Below are 25137 nucleotides of genomic sequence, written 5' to 3' on the forward strand. Positions count from 1 at the left end.
GAACACAATTCTTTATCTCACATGGAAAATTCAAGAAAAATCACATTCTGGGCCATAAAACAAATTAAATAGTTTAAGAGAATAAACAGCATGCAAAAAAGAATGAGATCATGTCCTTTACAGGGACATGGATGGAGCTGGAGGCCATAATCCTTTGCAAACTAACACAGGAAAAGAAAACCAAATACGGCATGTTCTCACTATAAGTGGGAGCCAAATGATGAGAACACATGGATACATAGAGGGAAGCAACATACACTGGGGCTTACTGGAGGGTGGAGGGTTGGAAGAGAGAGAGGATCTAATGGATGCTGGGCTGAATATCTGGGTGATGGGATGATCTGTGCAACAAGCAAACTACTCTGGCACATATTTACCTATGTAACAAACCTGCACATGTACCTCTGAACTTAAAATAGAAGTTTTTTTTTTTTTAAAGCATACAATATATATTCTCAGTTTACTATTGAGAATAACTGGAAATCAGTAATGGAAAGAGGCCAGGCATGGTGGCTTATTCCTGTTATCCCAGAACTTTCAGAGGCCAAGGTAGGAGGATTGCTTGAGCCCAGGAGTTTGAGACCAGCCTGAGCAACATAGCAAGACTTTGTCTCTACAGATAATAAAAAATTAGCTGGGCATAGTGGTACTTGCCTGTGGTCTTAGATACTCAGGAGGCTGAGGTAGGAGGATCACTTAAACCTGAACAGTCAAAACTGTAATGAGCCATGACTGTGCCACTGCACTCAAGCATGGGCAACAGAGCAAGACCCTGTCTCAAAAAATACAATAAAATAACAGAAAGCTGAAACATCATTCAAATACTTTGACATGAAGCAACATTCCTGTAAATAATTCATAGGTCAAAGAAGAATTCTCAAGAGAAATTACATGATCATCTAAATAAACACAGAAAAAGCAGGTGATGGTATCGACAGCTGAGAAACTGGAAGATGGATCACACCACAGGACTCTTTCCAGATATTTCTCAGTACCACCCTGGAGTCTGGTAGCTCTGCTGGGTGCCTAGACCCAAAAGAGAAATAACAATCACTGTGGTTCAGTTCTCAGGAAACTTCAATACTAGGGGAAGGGAAAGAGCACAACATCAAGGGATCACACCTTGGGACAAAAAAAAATCTGAACAACAGCTCTTGAGCCCCAGATCTTCGCTCTGACATAGTGTACCCAAATGAGAAGAAACCAGAGAAGCAATTCTGGCAATGTGACAAAATAAGTGTATTTAACACACCCCGAGAGATCACAGTAGATTACCAGCAATGGATCCAAACCAAGAATAAATTTCTGAATTGCCAGAAAAAGAATTCAGAAGGTCAGTTATTAAGCTACTCATGGAGGGACCAGAGAAAGGTGAATACCAACTTAAAGAAATAAAAAAAAAAGATACAGGGAATGAACAGAAAAATTTCCCGAGAAATACATAGCATAAATAAAAAATCACAAATTCTGGAAATCAAGGATACACTTAGGGAAATGCAAAATCCACTGAAAAGTCTCAGCAATAGAATCAAACAAGTAGAAGAAAGAACATCAGAGTTCGAAGACAAGGCTTTTGAATTAACCCAATCCAAGAAAGACAAAGAACAAAGAATTTAAAAAATGAACAAAGCCTCCAAGAAGTTTGAAATTATGTTGAATGACCAAACCTAAGAATAATTGGTGTTCCCAAGGGAAAAAAGAAAGATAACAGTTTGGAAAACATATTTGAGGGAATAATTGAGGAAAACTTCCCAGGCATAGCTAGAGATCTAGACATCTAAGTACAAGAAGCTCAAAGAACGCCCAGGAAATTTATTGCCAAAAGATCATCAACTAGCCACATAATCATGAGATTCTCTAAAGTCAAGATGAAGGAAAGAATCTTAAGAGCCCTGAGGTGAAAGCATCATGTAACCTATAAAGGAAAACCTATCAGATGAACAGCAGATTTCTCAGCAAAAATTTTGCAAGCTAGAAAACATTGAGGTCCTATCTTTAGCATCTTTAAACAAGAAAATTATCAGCCAAGAATTTTGTATTCGGCAAAACTAAGCTACATAAATAAAGGAAAGATATAGTCCCTTTCAGAAAACAAATGCTGAAAGAATTCACCACTACCAAGCCAGCACTACAAGAAGTGATAAAAGGAGCTCTAAATCTTGAAACAAATCCTTGAAATACATCAAAATAGGACCTCATAAAGGCATAAATCTTACAGGACCTGTAAAACAATAACATAATGACAAAAAAGAACAAGGTATTCAGGCAACAACTAAAACAATGAATAGAATAGTAACTCACTTCTCAATACTAATGTTGAATGCCCTAAATGCTCCACCTAAAGGAAACAGAATGGAGGAATGGAGAAGAATTCACCAACTATCTGCTATCTTCAGAAGACTCACCTAACACATAAGGACTCACATAAAGTTAAGGTAAAGGGGTGGGAAAAGATATTCCATGCAAATGTACACTAAAAGTGAGCAGGAGTAGCTATTTTTATATCAGAGAAAACAGACTGTAAAGCAACAATAGTCAAAAAGAACAAAGAGGGACATTATATGATGATAAAAGGACTTGTCCAACAGGAAAATATCACAATCCTAAATATATATGCAGCTAACACAGGAGCTTTCAAATCTACAAAACTATAAGTACTAGACCTAAGAAATGAGATAGACAGCAACACAGTGATAAAGGGGGACTTCATTACTCAACTGACAGCACTAGACAGGTCATAAAGACAGAAAGTCAACAAAGAAACAATGAACTTAACCTATATCCTAGAAAAAAAAAAGGACTAAACTGATATTTACAGAACATTCTACCCAAAAACTGCAGAATATACATTCTATTCATCAGCACATGAAAATTTATCCAAGATAGATCATAGGTTAGGCCACAAAACAAGTCTCAGTAAATTTAAGAAAATTGAAATGATATTAAGTATTGTCAGACTACAGTGGAATAAAATTTAAGAAAATTGAAATTATATTAAGTATTCTCAGGCTATAGTGGAATAAAATTGGAAATCAACTCCAAAATGAACCTTAAAAACCATGCAAATACATGGAAATTAAATAACCTGCTCCTGAGTGATTATTGGGTCAACAATAAAATCAAGATGGAAATTTAAAAAATTATTTGAACTGAACGCTAATAGTGACACAACTTATCAAAACCTCTGGAATACAGGAAAAGCAGTGCTAAGAGGAACGTTCAGAGCATTGAATGTCCATCTCAAAAAGTCTGAAAGAACACAAATAGACAAAGTAAGGTCACACCTCAAGGGACTAGAGAAATGGGAACAAACCAAATCCAAACCCAACAGAAGAAGAGTCATAACACAGATCAGAGCAGAACTAAATTACGTTGAAACAAACAAAAAAAGGACAAAAGATAAAACAAAAAGCTGGTTCTTTGAAAAGATAAACAAAATTAGGAGAATATTAGTGATATTAACTAAGAAAAGAATAGAGAAGATCCAAATAAGCTAAATTAGAAATGAAATGAGAGAAATTACCACTAAAACCACAGAAATACAAAAGATTATTTAAGGCTACTATGAACACCTTTACACGCACAAACTAGAAACCTTGCAGAGATAGATAAATTCCTGGAAATATACAGCCCTCCTACATTAAACCAGGAAGAAATAGAATCTCTTAACAGACCAATAAGAAGTAGCGGGATTGAAACAGTAATAAAAAAAAATGCCAGCAAAAATATATCCAGAAAGGGTGTGGAGATCCTTTAAAGAACTAAAAGTACATCTATTGTTTAATCCAGCAATCCTACTACTAGGTATCTTCCCAGAGGAAAAAAAGTCATTATACGAAAAAGATACCTGCACATGCATGATTATAGCAGCACAATTTGCAATTACAAAAATAGGGAGCCAACTCTATTGCCCATCAGTCAACGAATGAATAAATAAATGCAGTATATGTATACCATGGAATACTACTCAGGCATAAAAATGAATGAAATAATGGCATTTGCAGCAACCTGTATAGAATTGGAGACTCATTTTAAGTGAAGTAACTCAGGAATGGAAAACCAGATATCTTATGTTCTCACGCAGATGTGGGAACTAAGCTATGAGGAAGCAAAGACATAAGGATACATTGGAATTTGGGGACTCGGGGAAAGGGCAGAGACTGGCGAGGGATAAAAGACTACACATTTGGGTACAGTATACACTGCTCAGGTGATGGGTGCACCAAAATCTCAAAAATTACCACTAAAGAACTATTCGTGTAATGAAACACCATATGTTCCCAAAAAACTTATTGAAATAAATAATAATAATAATCAGACACACACACAGTCCAGGACCAGAGAGATTCACAGCTGAATTCTATCAGACATTCAAATGAAAACTGGTAGCAATTCTATTGACACTATTCCAAAAGATAAAGAAAGAGAGAATCCTCCCTAAATCATTCTATGAAGTCAGTATCACCTTAATACCAAAACCAGGGAAGGACATAACAAAAAAAGGAAAATACAGACCAATATCCCTGATGAAGATAGATGTAGAAAGTCTCAACAAAATACTAGCTAACTGAATCCAACAGCATATCAAAAAGATAATCCACCATGATCAAGTGGGTTTCATACCAGAGATCCAGGAATGATTTAACATATACAGGTCAATAAATGTGATACACTGCATAAACATAATTAAAAAAAATTATGTGATTGTCTCAATAGCTGCAGAAAAAGAAGACAAAATCTAACAACTCTTTATGAGCAAAACCCTCAGCAATGACATCATATAAGGGACATAGTTAAGGTAATAAAAGCCATCTATGACAAACAAAGAGCCAACATTATACAGCATGGGAAAAAGTTGAAAGCATTCCACCTGAGAACTGGAACAAGAGAAGGATGCCCACTTTCACCTCTTTATTCAACATAGTACTGGAAGTCCTAGCCAGAGCAATCAGACAAGAGGTAGAAATCAGGGTAATCTAAATTAGTAAAGAGAAAGTCAAACTGTCACTTTTCGCCAATAATATAATCATATCTTTAGAAGACCCTAAAGACTCATCCAAAAGGCTTGTAGAACTCAAAAATGAATTCAGTAAATTTTCAGGGTACAAAATCAATGTACCTGAATCAGTAGCATTGCTGTACACCAAGAGCGACCAAGAGGAATCAAATCAAGAACTCAACTCCTTTTACAATAGCTGCAAAATAAAATAAAATATTTAGGAATATACCTAACCAAGGAGGTGAAAGACCTCTACAAGGAAAACTACAAAACACTACTGAAAGAAATTATATATGACACAAACAAATAGAAATACATCCCATGCTGATGGATGGCTAGAATCAATATTGTGAAAATGACCATACTGCCAAAAGCAATCTACAAACTTAATGCAATTCTCATCAAAATACCACTATCATTCCTCATAGAACTAGAAAAAAAATCCTAAAATTTACATGGAACCAAAAAAGACCCCACAAATCCAAAGCAAGACTAAACAAAAGGAACAAATCTGGAGGCATCGCATTACCTGACTTCAAACTGTACTATAAGGCTATAGTCACCAAAACAGCATGGTACTGGCATAAAAATAGGCACATAGACCAATGGCACAGAATAGAGAACCTAGAAATAAACCCAAATGCTTGCAGCCAACTGATCTGCAACAAAGCAAACAAAAAGATAAACTGAGGAAAGGACACCCTATTCAGCAAAGGGTGCTGGGATAATTGGCAAGCCACATGTAGAAGAATGAAACTGGATCATCATCTCTCACCTTATATAAAAATCAACCCGAGATGGATCAAAGATTTTAATCTTCTAAGACTGGGAACCATAAAAATTCTAGAAGATAATATGGGAAAATCCCGTCTAGACATTGGCTTAGGCAAAGACTTTATGACCAAAACCCAAAAGCAAATGCAACAAAAACAAAGATAAATAGGTGGGACTTAATTAAACTAAAAAGCTTCTGCACAGCAAAAGAAACAATAAGCGGAGTAAACAGACAACCCACAGAGTGAGAAAATCTTCACAATCTGTGTATCTGACAAAGGACTAATATCCAGAATCTACAAGGAATTCAAACAAATTACCAAGAAAAAAGAATCCCATCAAGAGAATTTAAAAAATAATTTTAACTAGACAAAAATGAAAATACTAATTATTAAAATTTGTGGGATGCAGTAAAAGAAGTGATTAGAGGGAAATTCATAGCATTGAATGCATATGTTATACAACAATAAAGATCTAAAATTGAGGATCTGAGCTTCTTCTACCAGAGGATACTAGGAAAAGACTAGCAAATTAAATTCAAGCCATTATGGAATATCGTATGGAGGTTCCTCAATATGTTAAAAATGGAACTACCATATGACCCAGAAATTCCTCTTCTGGGTATATACCCAAAGGAAATGAAATCAGGACCTCACAGAAAAATCTGCACTCCTATGCTCATTGTTCATTCATAATAGCCAAAATATGGAAACAAACTAAGATTTGTTGACTGGTGTATTAGTCAGTTTTCATACTGCTATAAAGAACTGCCTGAGACTGGGTAATTTATAAAAGAAAGAGGTTTATTTGACTCACAGTTCAACATAGCTGCGGAAACCTCAGAAAAGTTACAATCATGGTGGAAGGCAAAGGGAAAGCAAGGCACCATCTTCACAAGGCAGCAGGAAAGAGATGTGCCAAGCAAAGGGGGAATAGCCCCTTATAAAGCCGTCAGATCTCATGAGAACTCACTCACTGTCACAATAATAGCATGGTGGAAGCTGCACCCATGATTCAATTACCTCTACCTGGTCTCTCCCTTGACACGTGGGGATAATGGGGATTATGGGAATTATAATTCAAGGTGAGATTTGGGTGGGGACACAAAGCCTAACCATATCAACAGGTGACTGTAAATGAATAGTGATATACAGTCGTGAACTACATAATGACATTTCAAAATAGAAAGCATGAAGTTCAGATGGGTTGACTAGTGAATTTTCCCAAATATTTAAGGAAGAAATTGTGTGAATTCTCCACAGTGTTTTTTAGATTTTGCAAGAGAAAGGAATATTTTTTAATTCATTTTGTGAGGCCGTCATTACTATAAGGCCTACACCACAGAAAAACACAATAAAGGAAAACTACTGACCAATGTCTCTCATAAACAGATGTAAAAATTCTCAACAGAATATTAGCAGATGATGTCCAACTATATATAAAAAATAATTATTTAGCACAAGTGGTATTTATTCCAGGCATGCAAGGCTGATTTAACATTCAAAAGTCATTAATGTGAGATTACAAAGGAACTGGAAAGCCTGAATAGACAGAAAGAGGGGAGGTTCCTGAACCGACAAATAATAATATAAGCATCAAAGATGGATTGCCCTAGGTCTAAGAGCTCAAATTCTGCATTTAAATTAAATTAAACATTAGGAGAAAAATGGCAGCTAACAGGCAGGACTAAATTGCAGCTTCCACTCAGACAGACAGAGCAGTGTGTGGAGGCTCCCAGTGTGAAATTTTGCTCCAAGAACTACTTCGGGAAAAGGAAAGCTGAGAGAATCCTCAGACCCTTTGAAGAAAGCAGCTTGCTGCTAGAGGCTCCATGAGATAGCTAAAAAACTGTGAGTGCCCAAAGTGTGAGAGGGGGAACGTCTACTCCCAAACACACATCCTTACTGGGGAACCTGAGGTTCCAGATTATGGGAGAAGGATTTGACCTTACATAGAGCTGGGATGAATTTAGAGAGTCAAGTGAAATATAGGAGTAGAGGGAAGCAGCAGGATGAGCCCTGTGGGCACTCTTGGTCCCCAGAGAAGTCATTCCTGAGTTTGTCTCACAAGGGTGTTTGGGTAGGGCTGCCAATAGAATTGGAGAAAGAGCACAGGGAGAAGGAAACTTCCAGATGAACTTTGTAACAATTTCAACTGAACACGAAGTTTCCTGGACAGAATATGGGGGAAGGGTGAATGGGGCATGCAGATACCAGCACAGAAACCACAGCAGGAGGGCAGTCAAGAAACCTGAAAGCCCTGCTTGCTTTCTCAGCTGGAGGGCTTGTAGCCTGGGGCAAGTTCCCCTGTTCACCAGCTGCCTGGATATAAACTTGGTGCTGTTGAGGGGGCAGGGTGGTAGTAAGACTTGCCTTTTGTGCTGCGTGGGAGCTGGGTGAGGCCTCTCCTGGCTTTCTCCCACTCATCTGACGACCTGTATGACATAACAGAGACAGCCATAATCCTTCTGGGAATGCAATTTCATCAGCCTGAGAAAAAGACCCCCATCCCCCACAGCAGCTAAAGCAAGCCCGGCCCAAGGAGAGTCTGAGCTCAGATAGCCTAACCCTGCCCCCACCTGGTGGTCTTTCTCTACCCACCCTGGTAGCCAAAGATAAATGACATAATCTCTTGGGAAGACTATGGCCCTGCCCATCACAGGAGGAACCTGAGTACTTATCCAGATAATCCTAGGGCAAGCTTGTATCCTCCCTATACCACCGCAGCTGATGCTGTCTTGAAAGCGCCATCTTCTGACTAAACCAACACAAAACCACCAAAGGCCAACCAACACAAAACTACCGAACTAAACAAAATTAGAACCATACCCTCACAGAGTCCACTTCACTCCCCTGCTACTTTTTAAATTAAACTAAAAAGCTTATACACAGTGAAAGAATCAACAGAGTAAACAGACAACCTACAGAATGAGAGAAAAACTTTGCGAACCATGCATCTGACAAAGGACTAATATCCAGAATCTACAAGAAACTCAAACAAATCAGCAAGAAAAAAAAAAAAATACCATCAAAAAGTGGGCTAAGGACATGAACAGACAATTCTCAAAAGAAGATATACAAATGGCCAACAAACATATTTTAAAAAATGCCCAACATCACTATTGATCAGGAAAATACAAATCAAAACCACAATGCAATACCTCGTTACTCCTTCAAGAATGGCCATAATAAAAATTTAAAAAAAAAATACATGTTGGTGTGGATGTGGTGAAAAAGCAACACTTTTACACTGCTGGTGGGAATGTAAACTAGTACAACCACTATGGAAAGTTGTATGGAGATTTAGTAAGGAACAAACAGTAGATCTATTTCATACAGCAATCCCACTACTAGGTATTTACTCAGAGGAAAAGAAGTCATTATACAGAAAAGATACTTGCACATTCATGTTTATAGCAGCACAATTTGCAATTGCAAAAATATGGAACCAGCTCAAATGCCCATCAATCAACAAATGGATAAAGAAAATTATATATATATACACATACACGTATACATACACACTGTGGAATACTATTCAGCCAAAAAAAAAAAGGAATGAAATAATGGCATTTGCAGAAACCTGGAATAGTATTGGAGACAATTATTCTAAGTCAAGTAACTCAGGAATGGAAAATCAAACATCATATGTTCTCACTCATAAGTGGGAGCTAAGCTATGAGGATGCAAAGGCATAAGAATGATACCATGGACTTGAGAAACTTGGGGTAAAAGGTGGGATGGGTGGGGGAAAAAGACTACACACTGGGTACAGTGTACATCGCTCTGGTGATGGGTGCACCAAAATCTCACAAATCACTGCTAAAGAACTTATCCATTTAACCAAACACCACCTGTTTTCCCAAAACCTATTGAAATAACAAATGTTTTAAAAATCATTAATGTAACCTGTTACATTATCAGACTAAAGAAGAAAAATGCCATATTCATATACATAGCTTTAAACGATCCTTTCTCAAAATCCACGTTCCATTTATGATTTAAAAAAAAAAACTTTTTAGCAAACCAGGAATAGAGAACTTCCTCAACTTGCTTTCTGAAAAATGTACAAGAAACCTATACCTAACAATATACTTAATGGGAAGAAACTAGAAGCTTTCTTACTAAGATAAGAAATAAGACAAGAATGTCCTTGGTAACCACTACTCTTCAATGTTATACTGGATGTCCTAGGTTATGCAACATGACATGAAAAGAAAATAGATTATATACATATTGGGAAGAAAAAACTGCTTTTTTTTTTTACAGGTGGCATAATTGTCTATACAGAAAATTTGAGTTGACCAAAAAAACTTTTGAACTAAAAAGCAATTATAGCAAAGTTTCAGGATACAAGATTAATATACAAAAGTCAATTGCTTTCCTACATCTCATGAATAAGTGGAATTTGAAACTAAAAACACAATTCCATTTACATTAGCACCCAATAAATAAAATGCTTGGGTACAGATAAAACAAAATAGGTACATGATATAGGAGTAAAACTATGAAACTCTGATGAAAAAAATTAAAGAAGAACTAAATAAATGGGAAGTCATTTTATGTTTATGGATAGTAAGAAAATATTTTGAAGATGTCACTTCATTGCAAATTATTCTATAGGTTCAGTGCAATCCCAATAAAAATCCCAGGAAGTTGTTTTATGAATATTGACAAACTGATTCTGAAGTTTATATGAGAAGGCAAAAGACCCAGAATAGCCAACTTAGAACTGAAGAACAAGAAAGTCAGAGGCCTGACATTACCTGCATTCAAGTCTTACTATAAAGCTACAGTAATCAAGGCAGTACGATACTGTCTAGAAAATACACAAATAATTTAGTGGAACAGAATGGAAAACCTGTAAATAAACTCACATAAATACAGTAAACTGATCTTTGAAAATGGAGCAAAAGGTAATACAATGATTCAAATAACATTTTAAATAAATGGTACTTGAATAACTGGATCTCTGCATGCAACACAAAAAAATCTAAACACAGACCTCACACTATTGAAAAAAATACATTTAAAATGGATCACAAACCTAAAGGTTAAATGTGAAGGTATAAAACTCCTAAAAATAACACTGAAAAAATCTAAGTTAATTTGAGTATTGTGATGGTTTTAAAAATACCAAAGACACAGTGTATGAAAGAAATAACTGATAAGCTGGACTTCATTTAAATTAAAAACTTTAAGTTTTTTTCAAGAACTTAAAGTCAGGGCTTACTTGAGGGTAAAGGACGGGAGGAAGGAGAGGAGCAAAAAGAACTATTGATTATCAGGCTTAGTACCTGGATGATAAAATAATCTGTACAACAAAACCCTGTGACATGAATTTACCTATATAACAAACCTGCATGTGTACCGCCGAACCTAAAATAAAAGTTTTTAAAATAATATAGTTTAACATTTGAAAAATTAAACAATGTTATTTGCTATATTAACAGGTTAAAGAAAAACCATCTGATCATTCCAGTAGATGCAGAAAATGCATTTGACAAAATCCATCATCCATTTTTAATAAAATATCTCAGTAATCTAGGCATAGAAGGAAACTTTCTTTACCTTCTTTGAAAATTATATAGCTAGTACAAAACTTAATGTTGGAAGACTGAATGCTATCCTGCTTAGGTCTGCAATAAAATAAGAATTCCATTTGAACACTTTTATTTAACATTGTACTGTAACTTCTAGTCAGTACAATCAAACGTGAAAGTTTGAAGGACACTAAGTAAATTTACAAAATTCAAACATATTTCTATATACCAGCAATAAACCTTGAGAATTTTAAAAGTCAATACTGTTTACAATAGCATAAAAATTACCAAATACATAGAGATGATCTGATAAAAAATGTGCAAGACCTGTACACTGAAAATTGTGAAACATTGCTGACAGTAAGTAAAGAAGACCACATAAAATAGAGAGATCTGTAATACTCTTGGATTAGAAGACTCAATTTTGTTAAAGTGTCAGTTTTACCCAAGTAGAGATACAGATTGAATGAAATCTCAAACTTTCAAACAGGTTTTTAAAAAGAAATTCACAAACCAATTTTAAAATTCATTTGAAATTACACAATATCTAGAGGAGCCAAAACGTTATGTGGAAAATAGTGTAAAGTTATAGGACTTACAATGTCATCAAGACTTAGAAATCTAACTTATTTAAGACAGTGTGGTATTGACAATATAGATGAATAAATCAAAGGAAGTGAGTTCAGAAATAGGCTTACATACATACATATCAATTTTCAACCAAACCTGAAATTTCATGGAGAAAGTATAGTTTCTTTAACTAATGGTGGTAGAATAATTGAGTAACCATATGCAAAAAAAAAGAACATTTACCCGACCGGGTGCGGTGGCTCACGCCTGTAATCCTAGCACTTTGGGAGGCCAAGACGAGTGGATCACGAGGTCAGGAGATCGAGACCATTCTGGCTAACACGGTGAAACCTCGTCTCTACTAAAAATACAAAAAAATAGCCGGGCGTGGTGGCGGGTGCCTGTAGTCCCGGCTACTCGGGAGGCTGAGGCAGGAGAATGGCGTGAACCCGGGAGGCGGAGCTTGCAGTGAGCCAAGATCGCTCCACTGCACTCCAGCCTGGGGGACAGAGCGACACTCCGTCTCAAAAAAAAAAAAAACAAAAAACAAAAACATTTACCCATATCTCACAGTGTACAATAATTAAATCCAACCCAGTCATTAACCTAAATGTAAAACCAAAAATAAAAAAGTACACTTTTAGAAGAAAAAAATGGGGAATAATTTTTGTGTTAATTAGGTTAGACAAAAATTTATTAGGTGCGACACCATAGAATGATCAATAAAGAAAAATAATAAATTGGACTTCATCAAAATTAATTTTTCTGCTATTTGAAAGACATTTTAAAAATATTGTAAAGACAAGCTATAGACGTGGAGAAAATATTTACATTGTACAAGTGTAATAAATATTTTAATCTCAATAAGAAGTAATAAAAAAACCAAATAAATAATGGACACAAGCTTTGAACAGGTATTTTATCAATGAAGATATGGAGATGGCAAATAAACACAAGAAACAATGATAAATATTATTTCTCATTAAAGAAATGCAATTAAAGTCACAATGATATATCACCACACATCTATTACACTGTCTTAGCTTTAAAAAGTTGATTATACTTTAAGTTCTGGAATACATAATAACCCTAGGGATTAAGTACTATTTAGTTAAACTTTAAATCTCAGAGAAATGGGGAACTACAATTTAATCACCAAACTTCATACAAATATTAAACAGAGCAGGGCTTGAACTCCAGGTCTGTCTCACTCCACAATCCTTTCCCAATCTGCAACATTTAAAAAAAAAAGAAGATATTACCATTCACTTAATATATTGGAGGTAGCATAGGCAGTTGAAACTAAGCAAATAGTGGTTTTATTTTTATTTAGTGTTGGAATCAGACTCATTAAGAGATAGCGATCTATCAGTCTAAAGTATCCCTTGGGATCGTTAGTTATTTGGTAACACTATCAAGGTTTCCCTCTTATCTAGAAAGCATTTCTCCCCTTCTCTGCCTGATAAACTCCCACTCTTCTTTTTCCTTTCCTCACTCTTTCTTTTAATCCTTTCAGTAATTCATTGCACCTATTGTGTTTTCTTTGCAGTTTGTATCTATAAGAAATTTGTTATGTTATTATTTGTTATTTAAATGTTCATTTTCCCAATTGGATTTTGAGTTCCTGGAGGAACTCCTCAGTGCCCTTCACAATTGTAGCTCATGGTCAGTGGGTTAATAAATGGGTGATATCGCTCATTTATGCAGATTAAAGGGACAGTGTGTTATAATGGCAAGAACACTATAACTACATGAGTCATTTAACCGAACCTGTTTTCTGTTCTGTAAATGGTGGATGTTGGGCTAGATAGCTTCCAATATTATTTCTAAATCTACTGTTGTCTGATTTACCCAAGTGCTGTTTTTACTGCCAGTAAAAAGCATACATAGAAATCACTGAGAAATGACCTTTTGTTATATTTATTTGTTTCTTCTATTTCTACTGTGCCAAGCAATATAAGAACTCATACCTTCTCTATCATGATAAAAATCAAATGTCTACAGATGTAGCATAAGGAAAGAAGTAATTTTCTGCATGCAGTTCTTATTTTCTTTTGCCTGTGATAATTGCAAATCCGTCAATAGAAATGAACTTTTTGTTACAAATATATTTTTTAAAAGTTGATTATAAGAAATGTTGGCTAGGTTATGGAACAACTAGAGCTCTCATACACTGTTAGTGGGATTGTAAATTGTCCAACATTTTGAGGAAAAGTTTGACATTACTAAAATGTTAAATGTACACTGATATAGATTCAGCCATTCCACTCTTAGATTTATTTATGTATTATTTTTTTCTTAGAGATGGATTCTTGCTCTGTCGTCCAGTCTGGAGTGCAGTGGTGTGATCTCGGCTCACTACAACCTCTGCCTCCTGGGTTCTAGCAATTCTCCTGCTTCAGCCTCCCGAGTAGCTGGGACTACAGGCACACGCTGCCACGCCCAGCTAATTTTTTGTGTGTTTTAATAGAGACGGGGTTGCACTGTGTTGCCCAGGCTGCTCTCGAACTCCTGAGCTCAGGCAATCCACCCGCCTCGGCCTCCCAAAGTGCTAGGATTACAGGCATGAGCCACTGCGCCCCGCTCAATCTTAAATATTTAACTAAGAGAAATGAAAGCATAGGTGCATACAGAGATTGTTATACACATATTTATAGCAGCTCCAAAAAGGAAAATAACCCAAAAGTCTATTAACAGGTGAGTGAATAAGAAAGGTGTTGTATATTCCTTCAGTAGAATACCACTCAGCAATAAAAAGGAATTACTATTGATACATGCCACAAATTAGATAAATCTCAAGTAATTATGCTAAGTGAAAGAGCCTGACAAATTAGAATATTTTGTGTGATTTTATTCATATGAAATTATAGAAAATGCAAACTAATCTACCATGACAGAAAGCAGATAAGTGGGTATGGTGAGAGGCTGGAAGAATTAACTATATTGAAGCATGAGAAAATTGTTAAGGATAGTAGATATACTCATCTTCTTGCTTGTGGTGATAGTATTCTAGGCATACACATATGTGAAAACTTATAAAATTGTAGAGTGTAAATATTTAGTTTATTGTTATGTACTTATATCTTAGTAAAGGTGTTTAGAGTTTTGACAGTCTTTAAAGTAATATAGCAATATCCAGATATTCAACAATGTAAATACAGTGTCTAGTATCCAGTCAAAAATTACTATAACTCAAAAAGCAGAGATATGTGTCCATGAATTAGAATAAAAATCAGTCAATAGAAAAGCACCCTCAAATGCCTAAGGTTTAGAATTCTTGAAGACTTTGAAACATTGAATTTAAGTATAATCTAGGATATAAGATAAAATATAAACGTTATGTACAGATAAATGAGCAATGGAAAAGGAACCTAATGGGACTTTTCAAACTAAGAAATACAATGTGAGAAATCAAAAGTCTTGAAGAGTTTTACAGCCTATTAGTGAAAATAAACAACCAGTTAATTGGAAACATAGGAAAACAAATTTTCCACAATAAACTGCAGAATAAAATGATCCTGGGGAAAAAAATGACCAGACCCTTAATTATCTGTGAGACAGTATCAAGTAGTCTAATATATATGTGTAGTCCAAAAAAAGGTACAGATTTTTTTGAATAAATTATTGTTCACAGAATCAAGAAGCTAAACAAACCTATAGTAGAATACACAAAGCCACTCGCTGAAGCATACCATAAGCAAATTGTTGGAATCAGTGATAAACACAAACATTTAAAGTTGTCACCAGAAAGAAAACACATTTCTGTATGGGACAAAGATAAAATTTTACTCTGATTTCTTGTAAGAAGCAGTGAAAGCCAAAAGACAATAGAATGCAACCTTTAATAAAATACTGAAATAAAGCAAAACTGGCATGTTAAGTTTATTATATTCAGCAAAAATATTCTTCAAAAACAAATGTGAAGTAAACACATTTTTAGTCAAACAAACGCTGTGGAAATTCCTCATAAGAAGACCTGTACTACAAGATACATGTTTTTACATCAGTACATGGAACATTCTCGAAGATAGACCATATGATAGGCCACAAAACAAGTCTCAGTAAATTTAAGAAAATCAAAATTATATTAAGTACTCTATCAGAGCACATTGGAATAAAATTAGAAAACAACTCTAAAAGGAACCCTCAAAACCATAAAAATATGTGCAGAGACACACATAGGCTCAAAATAAAGGGATGAAGGAAGATCTACCAAGCAGATGGAAAGCAAAAAAAAGCAGGGGTTGCAAGCCTGGGCTCTGATAAAACAGACTTTAAACCAACAAAGATCAAAAGAGACAAGACCATTACATAATGGTAAAGGGATCAATTAAACAAGAAGAGCTAACTATCCTAAGTATATATGCAACCAATTCAGGAACACCCAGATTCATAAAGCAACTCCTTAGAGACCTACAAAGAGACTTAGACTCCCACACAATAATAATGGGAGACTTTAGCACCCCACTGTCAGTATGAGACAGATCAATGAGAAACAAGGTTAACAAGGATATCCAGGACTTGAACTCAGCTCTGCACCAAGTGGACCTCATAGACGTCTACACAACTCTCCACCCCAAATCAACAGAATATACATTCTTCGCAGCACCACATCACACTTATTCCAAAATTGACCACATCGGTGGAAGTAAAGCACTCCTCAGCAAATGTAAAATAACAGAAATCGCAACAAACTGTCTCTCAGACCACAGAACAATCAAATTAGAACTCAGAATTAAGAAACTCACTCAAAACTGCACAGCTACATGGAAACTGAACAACCTGCTTCTGAATGACTACTGGGTAAATAACAAAATGAAGGCAGAAATAAAGATGTTCTTTGAAACCAATGAGAACAAACATACAACGTACCAGAATCTCTGGGACACATTTAAAGCAGTGTGTAGAGGGAAATTTATAGCACTAAATGCCCACAAGAGAAAGCAGGAAAGATCTAAAATCAACACCCTAACATCACAATTAAAAGAACTAGAGAAGCAAGAGCAAACAAATTCAAAAGCTAGCAGAAGGCAAGAAATAACTAAGATCAGAGCAGAACTGAAGGAGCTAGAAACACAAAAAAAAAAACCCTTCAAAAAAATCAATGAATCCAGGAGCTGTTTTTTTTGAAAAGATCAACAAAATTGATAGACTGCTAGCAAGATTAAAAAAGAAGAAAAGAGAGACAACTCAAATAGACACAGTAAAAACTGATAAAGGGGATATCACCACTGATCCCACAGAAATACAAATTACTATCAGAGAATATTATAAACACATCTACGCAAATAAACTAGAAAATCTAGAAGAAATGGATAAATTCCTGGACACATACACCCTCCCAAGACTAAACCAGGAAGAAGTTGAATCTCTGAATAGACCAATAACAGGCTCTGAAATTCAGGCAATAATTAATAGCCTACCAATCAAAAAAATTCCAGGACCAGATGGATTCACAGCTGAATTCTACCAGAGGTACGAAGAGGAGCTGGTACCATTCCTTCTGAAACTTCCAATCAATAGAAAAAGACAGAATCCTCTCTAACTCATTTTATGATGCCAGCATCATTCTGATACCAAAGCCTAGCAGAGACACAACGAAAAAGAGAATTGTAGATGAATATCCCTGATGAATATTGATGTGAAAGTGAAAATCCTCAGTAAAATACTGGCAAACAGAATCCAGCATCAGGTCAAAAACATTATCCACCACGATCAACTCGACTTCATCCCTGGGATACAAACCTGGTTCAACATAAGCAAATCAATAAACATAATCCATCACATAAACAGAACCAAAGACAAAAACCACATAATTATCTCAATAGATGCAGAAAAGGCCTTTGACAAAATTCAACAGCCCTTCATGCTAAAAACTCTCAATAAACTAGGTAGTGATGGAATATATCTCAAAATAATAAGAGCTATTTATGACAGACTCACAGCCAATATCATACTGAATGGGCAAAACCTGGAAGCATTCTCTTTGAAAACTGGCACAAGACATGGATGCCCTCTCTCACCACTCCTATTCAACATAGTGTTGGAAGTTCGGGCCAGGGCAATCAGGCAAGAGAAAGAAATAAAGTGTATTCATTTAGGAAAAGAGGAAGTCAAATTGTCCCTGTGTGCAGATGATGTGATTGTATAATTTAGAAAACCCCATCGTCTCAGCCCAAAATCTCCTGAAACTGATAAGCAACTTCAGCAAAGTCTCAGGATACAAAATCAATGTGCAAAAATCACAAGCATTCCTATACACCAATAACAGACAAACGGAGAGCCAAATCATGAGTGAACTCCCATTCACAATCGCCATAAAGAGAATAAAATACCTAGGAATCCAACTTACAAGGGACGTGAAGGACCTCTTCAAGGAGAACTACAAACAACTGCTCAACGGAATAAAAGACAAACAAATGGAAGAACATTCTATGCTCATGGATAAGAAGAATCAGTATCGTGAAAATGGCCATACTGCCCAAGGTGATTTATAGATTCAGTGCTATCCCCATCAAGCTACCAATGACTTTCTTCACAGAATTGGAAAAAACTACTTTAAAGTTCATATGGAGCCAAAAGAGAGACCACATAGCCAAGACAATCCTAAGCCAAAAGAACAAAGCTGGAGGCATCATGCTACCTGACTTCAAACTATACTACAAGGCTACAGTAACCAAAACAGCATGGTACTGGTACCAAAACCAATATATAGACCAATGGAACAGAACAGGGGCCTCAGAAATAACACCACATATCTACAACCATCTGATCTTTGACAAACTTGACAAAAACAAGAAATGGGGAAAGATTCCCTATTTAATAAATGATGCTGGGAAAACTGGCTAGCCATATGTAGAAAGCTGAAACTGGATCCCTTCCTTACAATTTATACAAAAATTAATTCAAGATGGATTAAAGACTTAAATGTTAGACCTAAAACCGTAAAAACTCTAGAAGAAAATCTAGGCAATACTATTCAGGACATAGGCATGGGCAAGGACTTCATGTCTAAAACACCAAAAGCAATGGCAACAAAGGCCAAAATAGACAAGTGGGATCTAATTAAACTAAAGAGCTTCTGCATGGCAAAAGAAACTACCATTAGAGTGAACAGGCAACCTACAGAACTGGAGAAAATTTTTGCAATCCACCCCTCTGACAAAGGGCTAATATCCAGAATCTAAAAAGAACTTAAACAAATTTACAAGAAAAAAACAACCCCATCAAAAAGTGGGCAAAGGATATGAACAGACACTTTTCAAAAGAAGACATTGATGCAGCCAACAGACACATGAAAAAAATGCTCGTTATCACTGGTCATCAGAGAAATGCAAATCAAAACCACAATGAGATACCATTTCACACTGGTTAGAATGGCGATCATTAAAATGTCAGGAAACAACAGGTGCTGGAGAGAATCTGGAGAAATAAGAATGCTTTTACACTGTTGGTGGGACTGTAAACTAGTTCAACCATTGTGGAAGACAATGTGGTGATTCCTCAAGGATCTAGAACTAGAAATACCATTTGACCCAGCGATCCCATTACTGTATATATACCCAAAGGATTATAAATCATGCTACTATAAAGACACATGCACACGTATGTTTTTTGTGGCCCTATTCACAATAGCAAAGACTTGGAACCAACCCAAATGTCCATCAATGATAGACTGGATTAAGGAAATGTGGCACATATACACCATGGAATACTATGCAGCCATAAAAAAGGATGAGTTCATGTCCTTTGCAGGGACATGGATGCAGCTGGAAACCATCATTCTCAGCAAACTATCACAAAATTAGAAAACCAAACACCACATGTTCTCACTCATAGGTGGGAATTGAACAATGAGAACACTTGGACACAGGGTGGGGAACATCACACCCCAGGGCCTGTCTGGGAGTAGGGGGCAGGGGGAGGGATAGCATTAGGAAAAATACCTAATGTAAATGACGAGTTAATAGGTGCAGCAAACCAACATGGCATATGTATATCTATTTAACAAACCTGTACATTGTGCACCTGTATCCTAGAACTTAAGGTATAATAAAAAAAGAAAAGTAACTAATAGCTGGCATATTGGAGAGTGAAATAAAACTTGAAGAACAACCAATATAGTAGCAGTATGTTTCTTGGTTTTCTCCCTCTACTATCCCATAAATGTAATCTGAAGACAGGCTGGAATGGTGAGTTGCATAAAGGGAACAGACAATACCTCTGGGAGAAACCCATCTTCCTGGTCAGAGCATTGAGAACAGTGGCCTCTGTGGGTTGGATAGTGTGAAAGGAATCACCGAGGTTCTATTTTTTTTTTTCAGCCCTTCTCCAATGCCTGCCACAGTAATGAATCTGCACCTCTGTGCTGGCAGCACAAGCACCAAAAACTGTGAGGAAAAACCCATCTCTTTGGATAAAGGAGCCAAAAAAAAAAATGGGCCCCTCTTGTGAAAGGTTGGGAAATCACAATTATTATTTGTCTTATCCCTCTCAGGCTGCTATAAGAAAATACCATAAACTAGGTAGTTTATAAGGAACAAAAATTTATGTCACAGTTCTGGAGAATGGGATGTCCAAGGTTAAGGTGCCAGTAGATTGAATATATAGTGAGGTCTCATTTCCCAGTTTAAAATGATGTCTTCATTCTGTGTCCTCACCTGGTGGAAGGGAAAAGCAGCTCTCTGGGACATCTATTTGTAAGGACACTTATCCCTCTCCTGAGAGCTCCACCCTCATGACCTAATCACCTCTTACATTGCTTATTGGTTTTTTGTTTGTTTGTTTTTTGTTTTTTTTGTTTGTTTTTTGAGACAGATTCTCATTCTGTGGCCCAGGCTGGAGTGCAGTGGTGCAATCTCAGCTCACTGCAACCTCCGCCCTCTGGGTTCAAGTGATTCTCCTGCCTCAGTCTCTTGAGTAGCTGGGACTGCAGGCAGATGCAAACACACCTGGCTCATTTTTGTATTTTTGGTAGAGGTGGGGTTTCACCATGCTAGCCAGGCTGGTCTTGAACTTTTGATCCCAAGTGATTCGCTCATCTTGGCGTCCCAAAGGGCGGGATTACAGGCATGAGCCACCATGCCCTGCCTGGTTGTTAAGTTTTTAACATGAATTTTGAGGGGGGCACAAACATTCAACCCATATAATTATTTTTCTGTATTTTCTCTTACTACATTACACTAATGATGGTTTCTATTTTAAGTGTGGAGTGTAAAATTATGGGAGAATTTTATTTTTAAGTCAAATATCAGGAAAATGACTCTTGCTATTCACATAATTTGGGAAAAATTCTGGAGAAGAGAGAGCTGAAGAGTTGATCTCTTAATTTTGTGTGTGACCCTATACAACTTCAGATTCATCTTCTATTTGTGGGTGCACATAATATGTCCAGAGAAGCATAGCAAAGGCTTTAAGAACTGAACTATAATGTAAACTAATGCCTAAGTTGCAGACAAATCTATGATTCGCACTTACAAAGGGCAGGCCCAAACAGCTTACCAAAGGTTTTGAAAACTTAAATGACATTTTAACAAGCACAGAAAGTGAGACAGAATTTGTGATCCAAATATAACCAGGTTAACTGCCTGCTAAAACAAACACAAATTAAGTTTTTTTCCGAATTTTAATACCATACTTAATAGTATAATATTGAAAATTTTAAGAATACAACCCAAAATTACTTTGCATAGAAAGAACCAGTAAAATTTGACAGATTCTCAAGTGAAACAACAATCAACAGATGCCAACTCTGAAATGACTCAGATGATGGAATTAAAAGACAAAGACTTTAAATCAGATATTATAACCATGCTCTGTGAGGCCAAGGTGAATACTCTTGAAATGAATTGAAACAGCAGTCCTAAGCTAAGAAATACAAACTATTTTTGAAAGATGAGAATCTTAGAATTTAAGAAATACAGAATCTGATATTTTAGAAAAACTACTGGATGAAATCAATAGCAGAATTGGGATGATAGAAGGAACTACCTTGGATTTTGAAAATAGAGCAGTAGAACTAATGCATTCAGAAGAACACAGAGAAAAAAAAATTAAATCTAGATACTCAGGGACATGTGGAACAATATCACAAGGTCTAATGTTGGTATTAATTGAGTTCCTGGCAGAGAGAAGAAAGAGAGGAGTACAAAAAAAAATTTGAAGAAATAAAAGCTGAAATTTACCCCAAATTGGTGAAATATGTAAATTTACACATTTAAGAAGCTTAGGAGAAATACAAAGAAAATCACACCCGGACACATTACAATGAAAATGCTGCAAAATCAAAGATAAATGAAACATGTTGAAGGCAGACCGAGAAAAATGACACATTAAGTACAGCGGACAGTGATTTAAATTACTACTGATTTTTCACCAGAAATCATGAAGATCAGAAGATGGAAACAACATTGTTAAAGTGCTGAATAAATGAACTATCCATCCAGAATTTTATATCCAGAGAAAATATTCTTCAGGAATGAAAGTGAAACAGAAAACATTCTCAGAGAAAGGAAATCTAAAAGAATTTGCTTCCAGCACACCTTCCATAAAAGATATGTCAAAAATAATTTTTTTAGGTTGAAGGGAAATGATACCAGAAGAAAACTGATAATTCAGAAATGAAGAGCAACAGAAATGGTACATTTCTGGGAAAACCTTGTAGAGTAATTTCCTTAGTGTATATATATATAACTATCTATTGAAAGTAAAATATAATTTGGGAAAATTTTTGTGTATGTAGACATAAGATATATATCAACTTTAATATAAAAGAGAATAAAGGAAACTGTATGGTAACAAGACTTTTATATTTTTATTTTAGGGGTAAAATATTAACTCTAAATTAACTGTAAGGAGTTAAGTATGTGTATTATAATCTTGAGAACAATCATTAAAATGGTAGAGATATAGCAAAAAATCTAATTAATTGAAATTGAATACTAAAAATTATTTTAAAATCCAAAAGAAGTTCTTAAAACAGGGAATAGAGGAACAAATAACACAAGGAGAAAACATAAATATAATAAATGGCAGCTCTAAATTCAGATACAATTAATTTTTATTTAATTTGTACAATTAAATATCTCAACTATATGTGGTATACAATAAACCCACTTTAAATATTATGATATGGATTGATTAAAAGTAGAAGTATGATAAAATAACTGATTTTTCTAAATAAGTAGAAAAAATAATTTATGGTTTTTAGCATATGTAGAAGTAAAATATATGACAACAGCACAGAAGAATGGGAGAAGAAAAATGGAAGTATACAGTTTTAGGTTTGTTGCATTATATTTGAAATGATAAAGTACCATTTGAAAATACATTTGAGAAGCAAAAGAAGGATACTGTAAATGTTGTGACAATCACTAACCTAACCTCCAGGTGCCAGAGAAAAAAGCCAGGGGCCTAGTAGCAGCCCCCCAGAGCTGGAGCACCCAGATCAGGAGTGCTGAGCTGAGCCTAGGCCCCGTAAAATCATCCAGAAATGAAGCCATTTGAATGAACCCATCTTATGTCACAATCAAACCCCAAAGACATCAGAAAACGTAAAACCAAAAGAAAAAAATCCATCCAAAGGAGAGCATCGTCAAAGATTGAAGGAACATCAGGCCACACAGATGAGAAAGAACCAGCACAAGAACTATGGCAACTTAAACAGCCTGAGTGTCTTCTTACCTCCAAACAACCACACCAGTTCTACAGCAATGGCTCTTAACAAGGTTGAAATGGCTGAAATGACAGAAATGGAATTCTGAATATAGATAGGAGTGAAGATCATCCACATCCAGTAAAAAGTCAAAACCCAATCCAATGAACTTAAGGAGTAAAATAAGATCATACAGGAGCTGAAAAATGGTATGGTCATTTTTAAGAAAGAACCAAACTGATCTGATAGAGCTGAAAAACTGGCTTCAAGAATTTAATAATATAATTGCAAGTAATAACAGCAGAATTGACCAAGCTGAGTAAAGAATCTCAGAGCTTTAAGACCAATACTCTGAAACTACTCAGTCAGACAAAAATAAAAAAAGGAAAAGCAATAAAGAAGAATGGACAAGACCTCCAAAAAAGATGGGATTATGTAAACAGACCAAAGCTACAACATATCAGCATTGAAATAGAGAGAGATAAATCAAGCAACTTGGAAAACATGTTTGAGGATAGTGTACATGAAAACTTTCCCAATCTCACTAAAGAGGCCAGCATTTAAAGTCAGGAAAGGAAGAGAACCTCTGTGAGGTACTATAAAATAGTCATCGGATTCTGCAAAGTTGAAATGAAAGCAAAATTTTAAAGGCACCTAGAGGGTTGAGAAAGGTGACCTAAAAGTTTACAGCATTAGGCTAACAGTGGACCTTTCAACAGAAACCTAATAAGCCAGAAGAGATTGGGGCCTATATTAAGCATTTGTAACAAAAAATTTCAACTAAGAATTTCATATCCAGCCAAACTAAGCTTCATAAGTGAAGGAAAAAAAGGTTATTTTGAGAGAAGTATATACTAATGAAATTCATAACCACCAGGACTGCCTTAAATAAAGTCCTTGAGAGTGCTAAACATGGAAATTAAAGACTGTTACCAACCACCACAAAAATACACTTAATTACATAGACCATTGATGCTATAAAGCAAGTACACAATAAAATCTGCATGACAATCAGGTAACAACACAATGACAGAATCAAATCCACATATATCAATAATAACTTTGAAAGTAAAAGGGCTAAATAACTGAATTAAAAGGCACAGTGTGGAAAGTAGGATAAAGAATCAAGACCCAAGGTTATACTGTCTTCAAGAGATCCATCTCACATGCAATGAAACCCACAGGCTCAAAGTAATGGGATGGAGAAAAATCTACAGAGCAAATGGAAAACAGAAAATTGCAGGGGTTGCTATTCTAAGTTCAGACAAAGCCGACTTTAAACCAACAACAATCAAAAAAGACAAAGAATGGCATTATATAATGGTAAGGGGGTAAATTAAACAAGAAAACCGAACTATCCTAAATATATGTACCCATCACAGGAGCACCCAGATTTATATAGCAAGCTTTTAGAGACATACGAAGAGACTTAGCCACAAAATAGTAGTAGAGCACATGGCATATACTCTAAAATTGACCAAAAAATCAGACATCAAACAATCCTCAACCAATTAAAAAAAAAAAACAAATCATAGCAACCACGGTCTTGGGCAGGAGTGCAATAAAAATTTAAATCAATACTAAGATAATTGCTGAACT

At 35.7% G+C, this 25137-nt stretch overlaps 1 protein-coding gene across 14 annotated transcripts in view, besides 1 other annotated feature; it reads left to right on the top strand.

The window, feature by feature from the left end:
- Positions 1-25137, top strand: part of ZC3H12B (zinc finger CCCH-type containing 12B) — a 473062-nt gene that overhangs the window by 257379 nt on the left and 190546 nt on the right. The gene's annotated exons all lie outside the window — the stretch shown is intronic.
- Positions 7873-8584: an enhancer, noted in NCBI's record as "NANOG hESC enhancer chrX:64519957-64520668 (GRCh37/hg19 assembly coordinates)". NCBI's record gives its function as "activates a minimal SCP1, AML or CMV promoter by ChIP-STARR-seq in naive H9 embryonic stem cells {active_cell/tissue: H9 hESC(naive)}" and the evidence as "EXISTENCE:reporter gene assay evidence [ECO:0000049][PMID:30033119]".

Source organism: Homo sapiens, chromosome X (genome assembly GCF_000001405.40).
Source record: "Homo sapiens chromosome X, GRCh38.p14 Primary Assembly".
Classification (NCBI taxonomy): domain Eukaryota; kingdom Metazoa; phylum Chordata; class Mammalia; order Primates; family Hominidae; genus Homo; species Homo sapiens.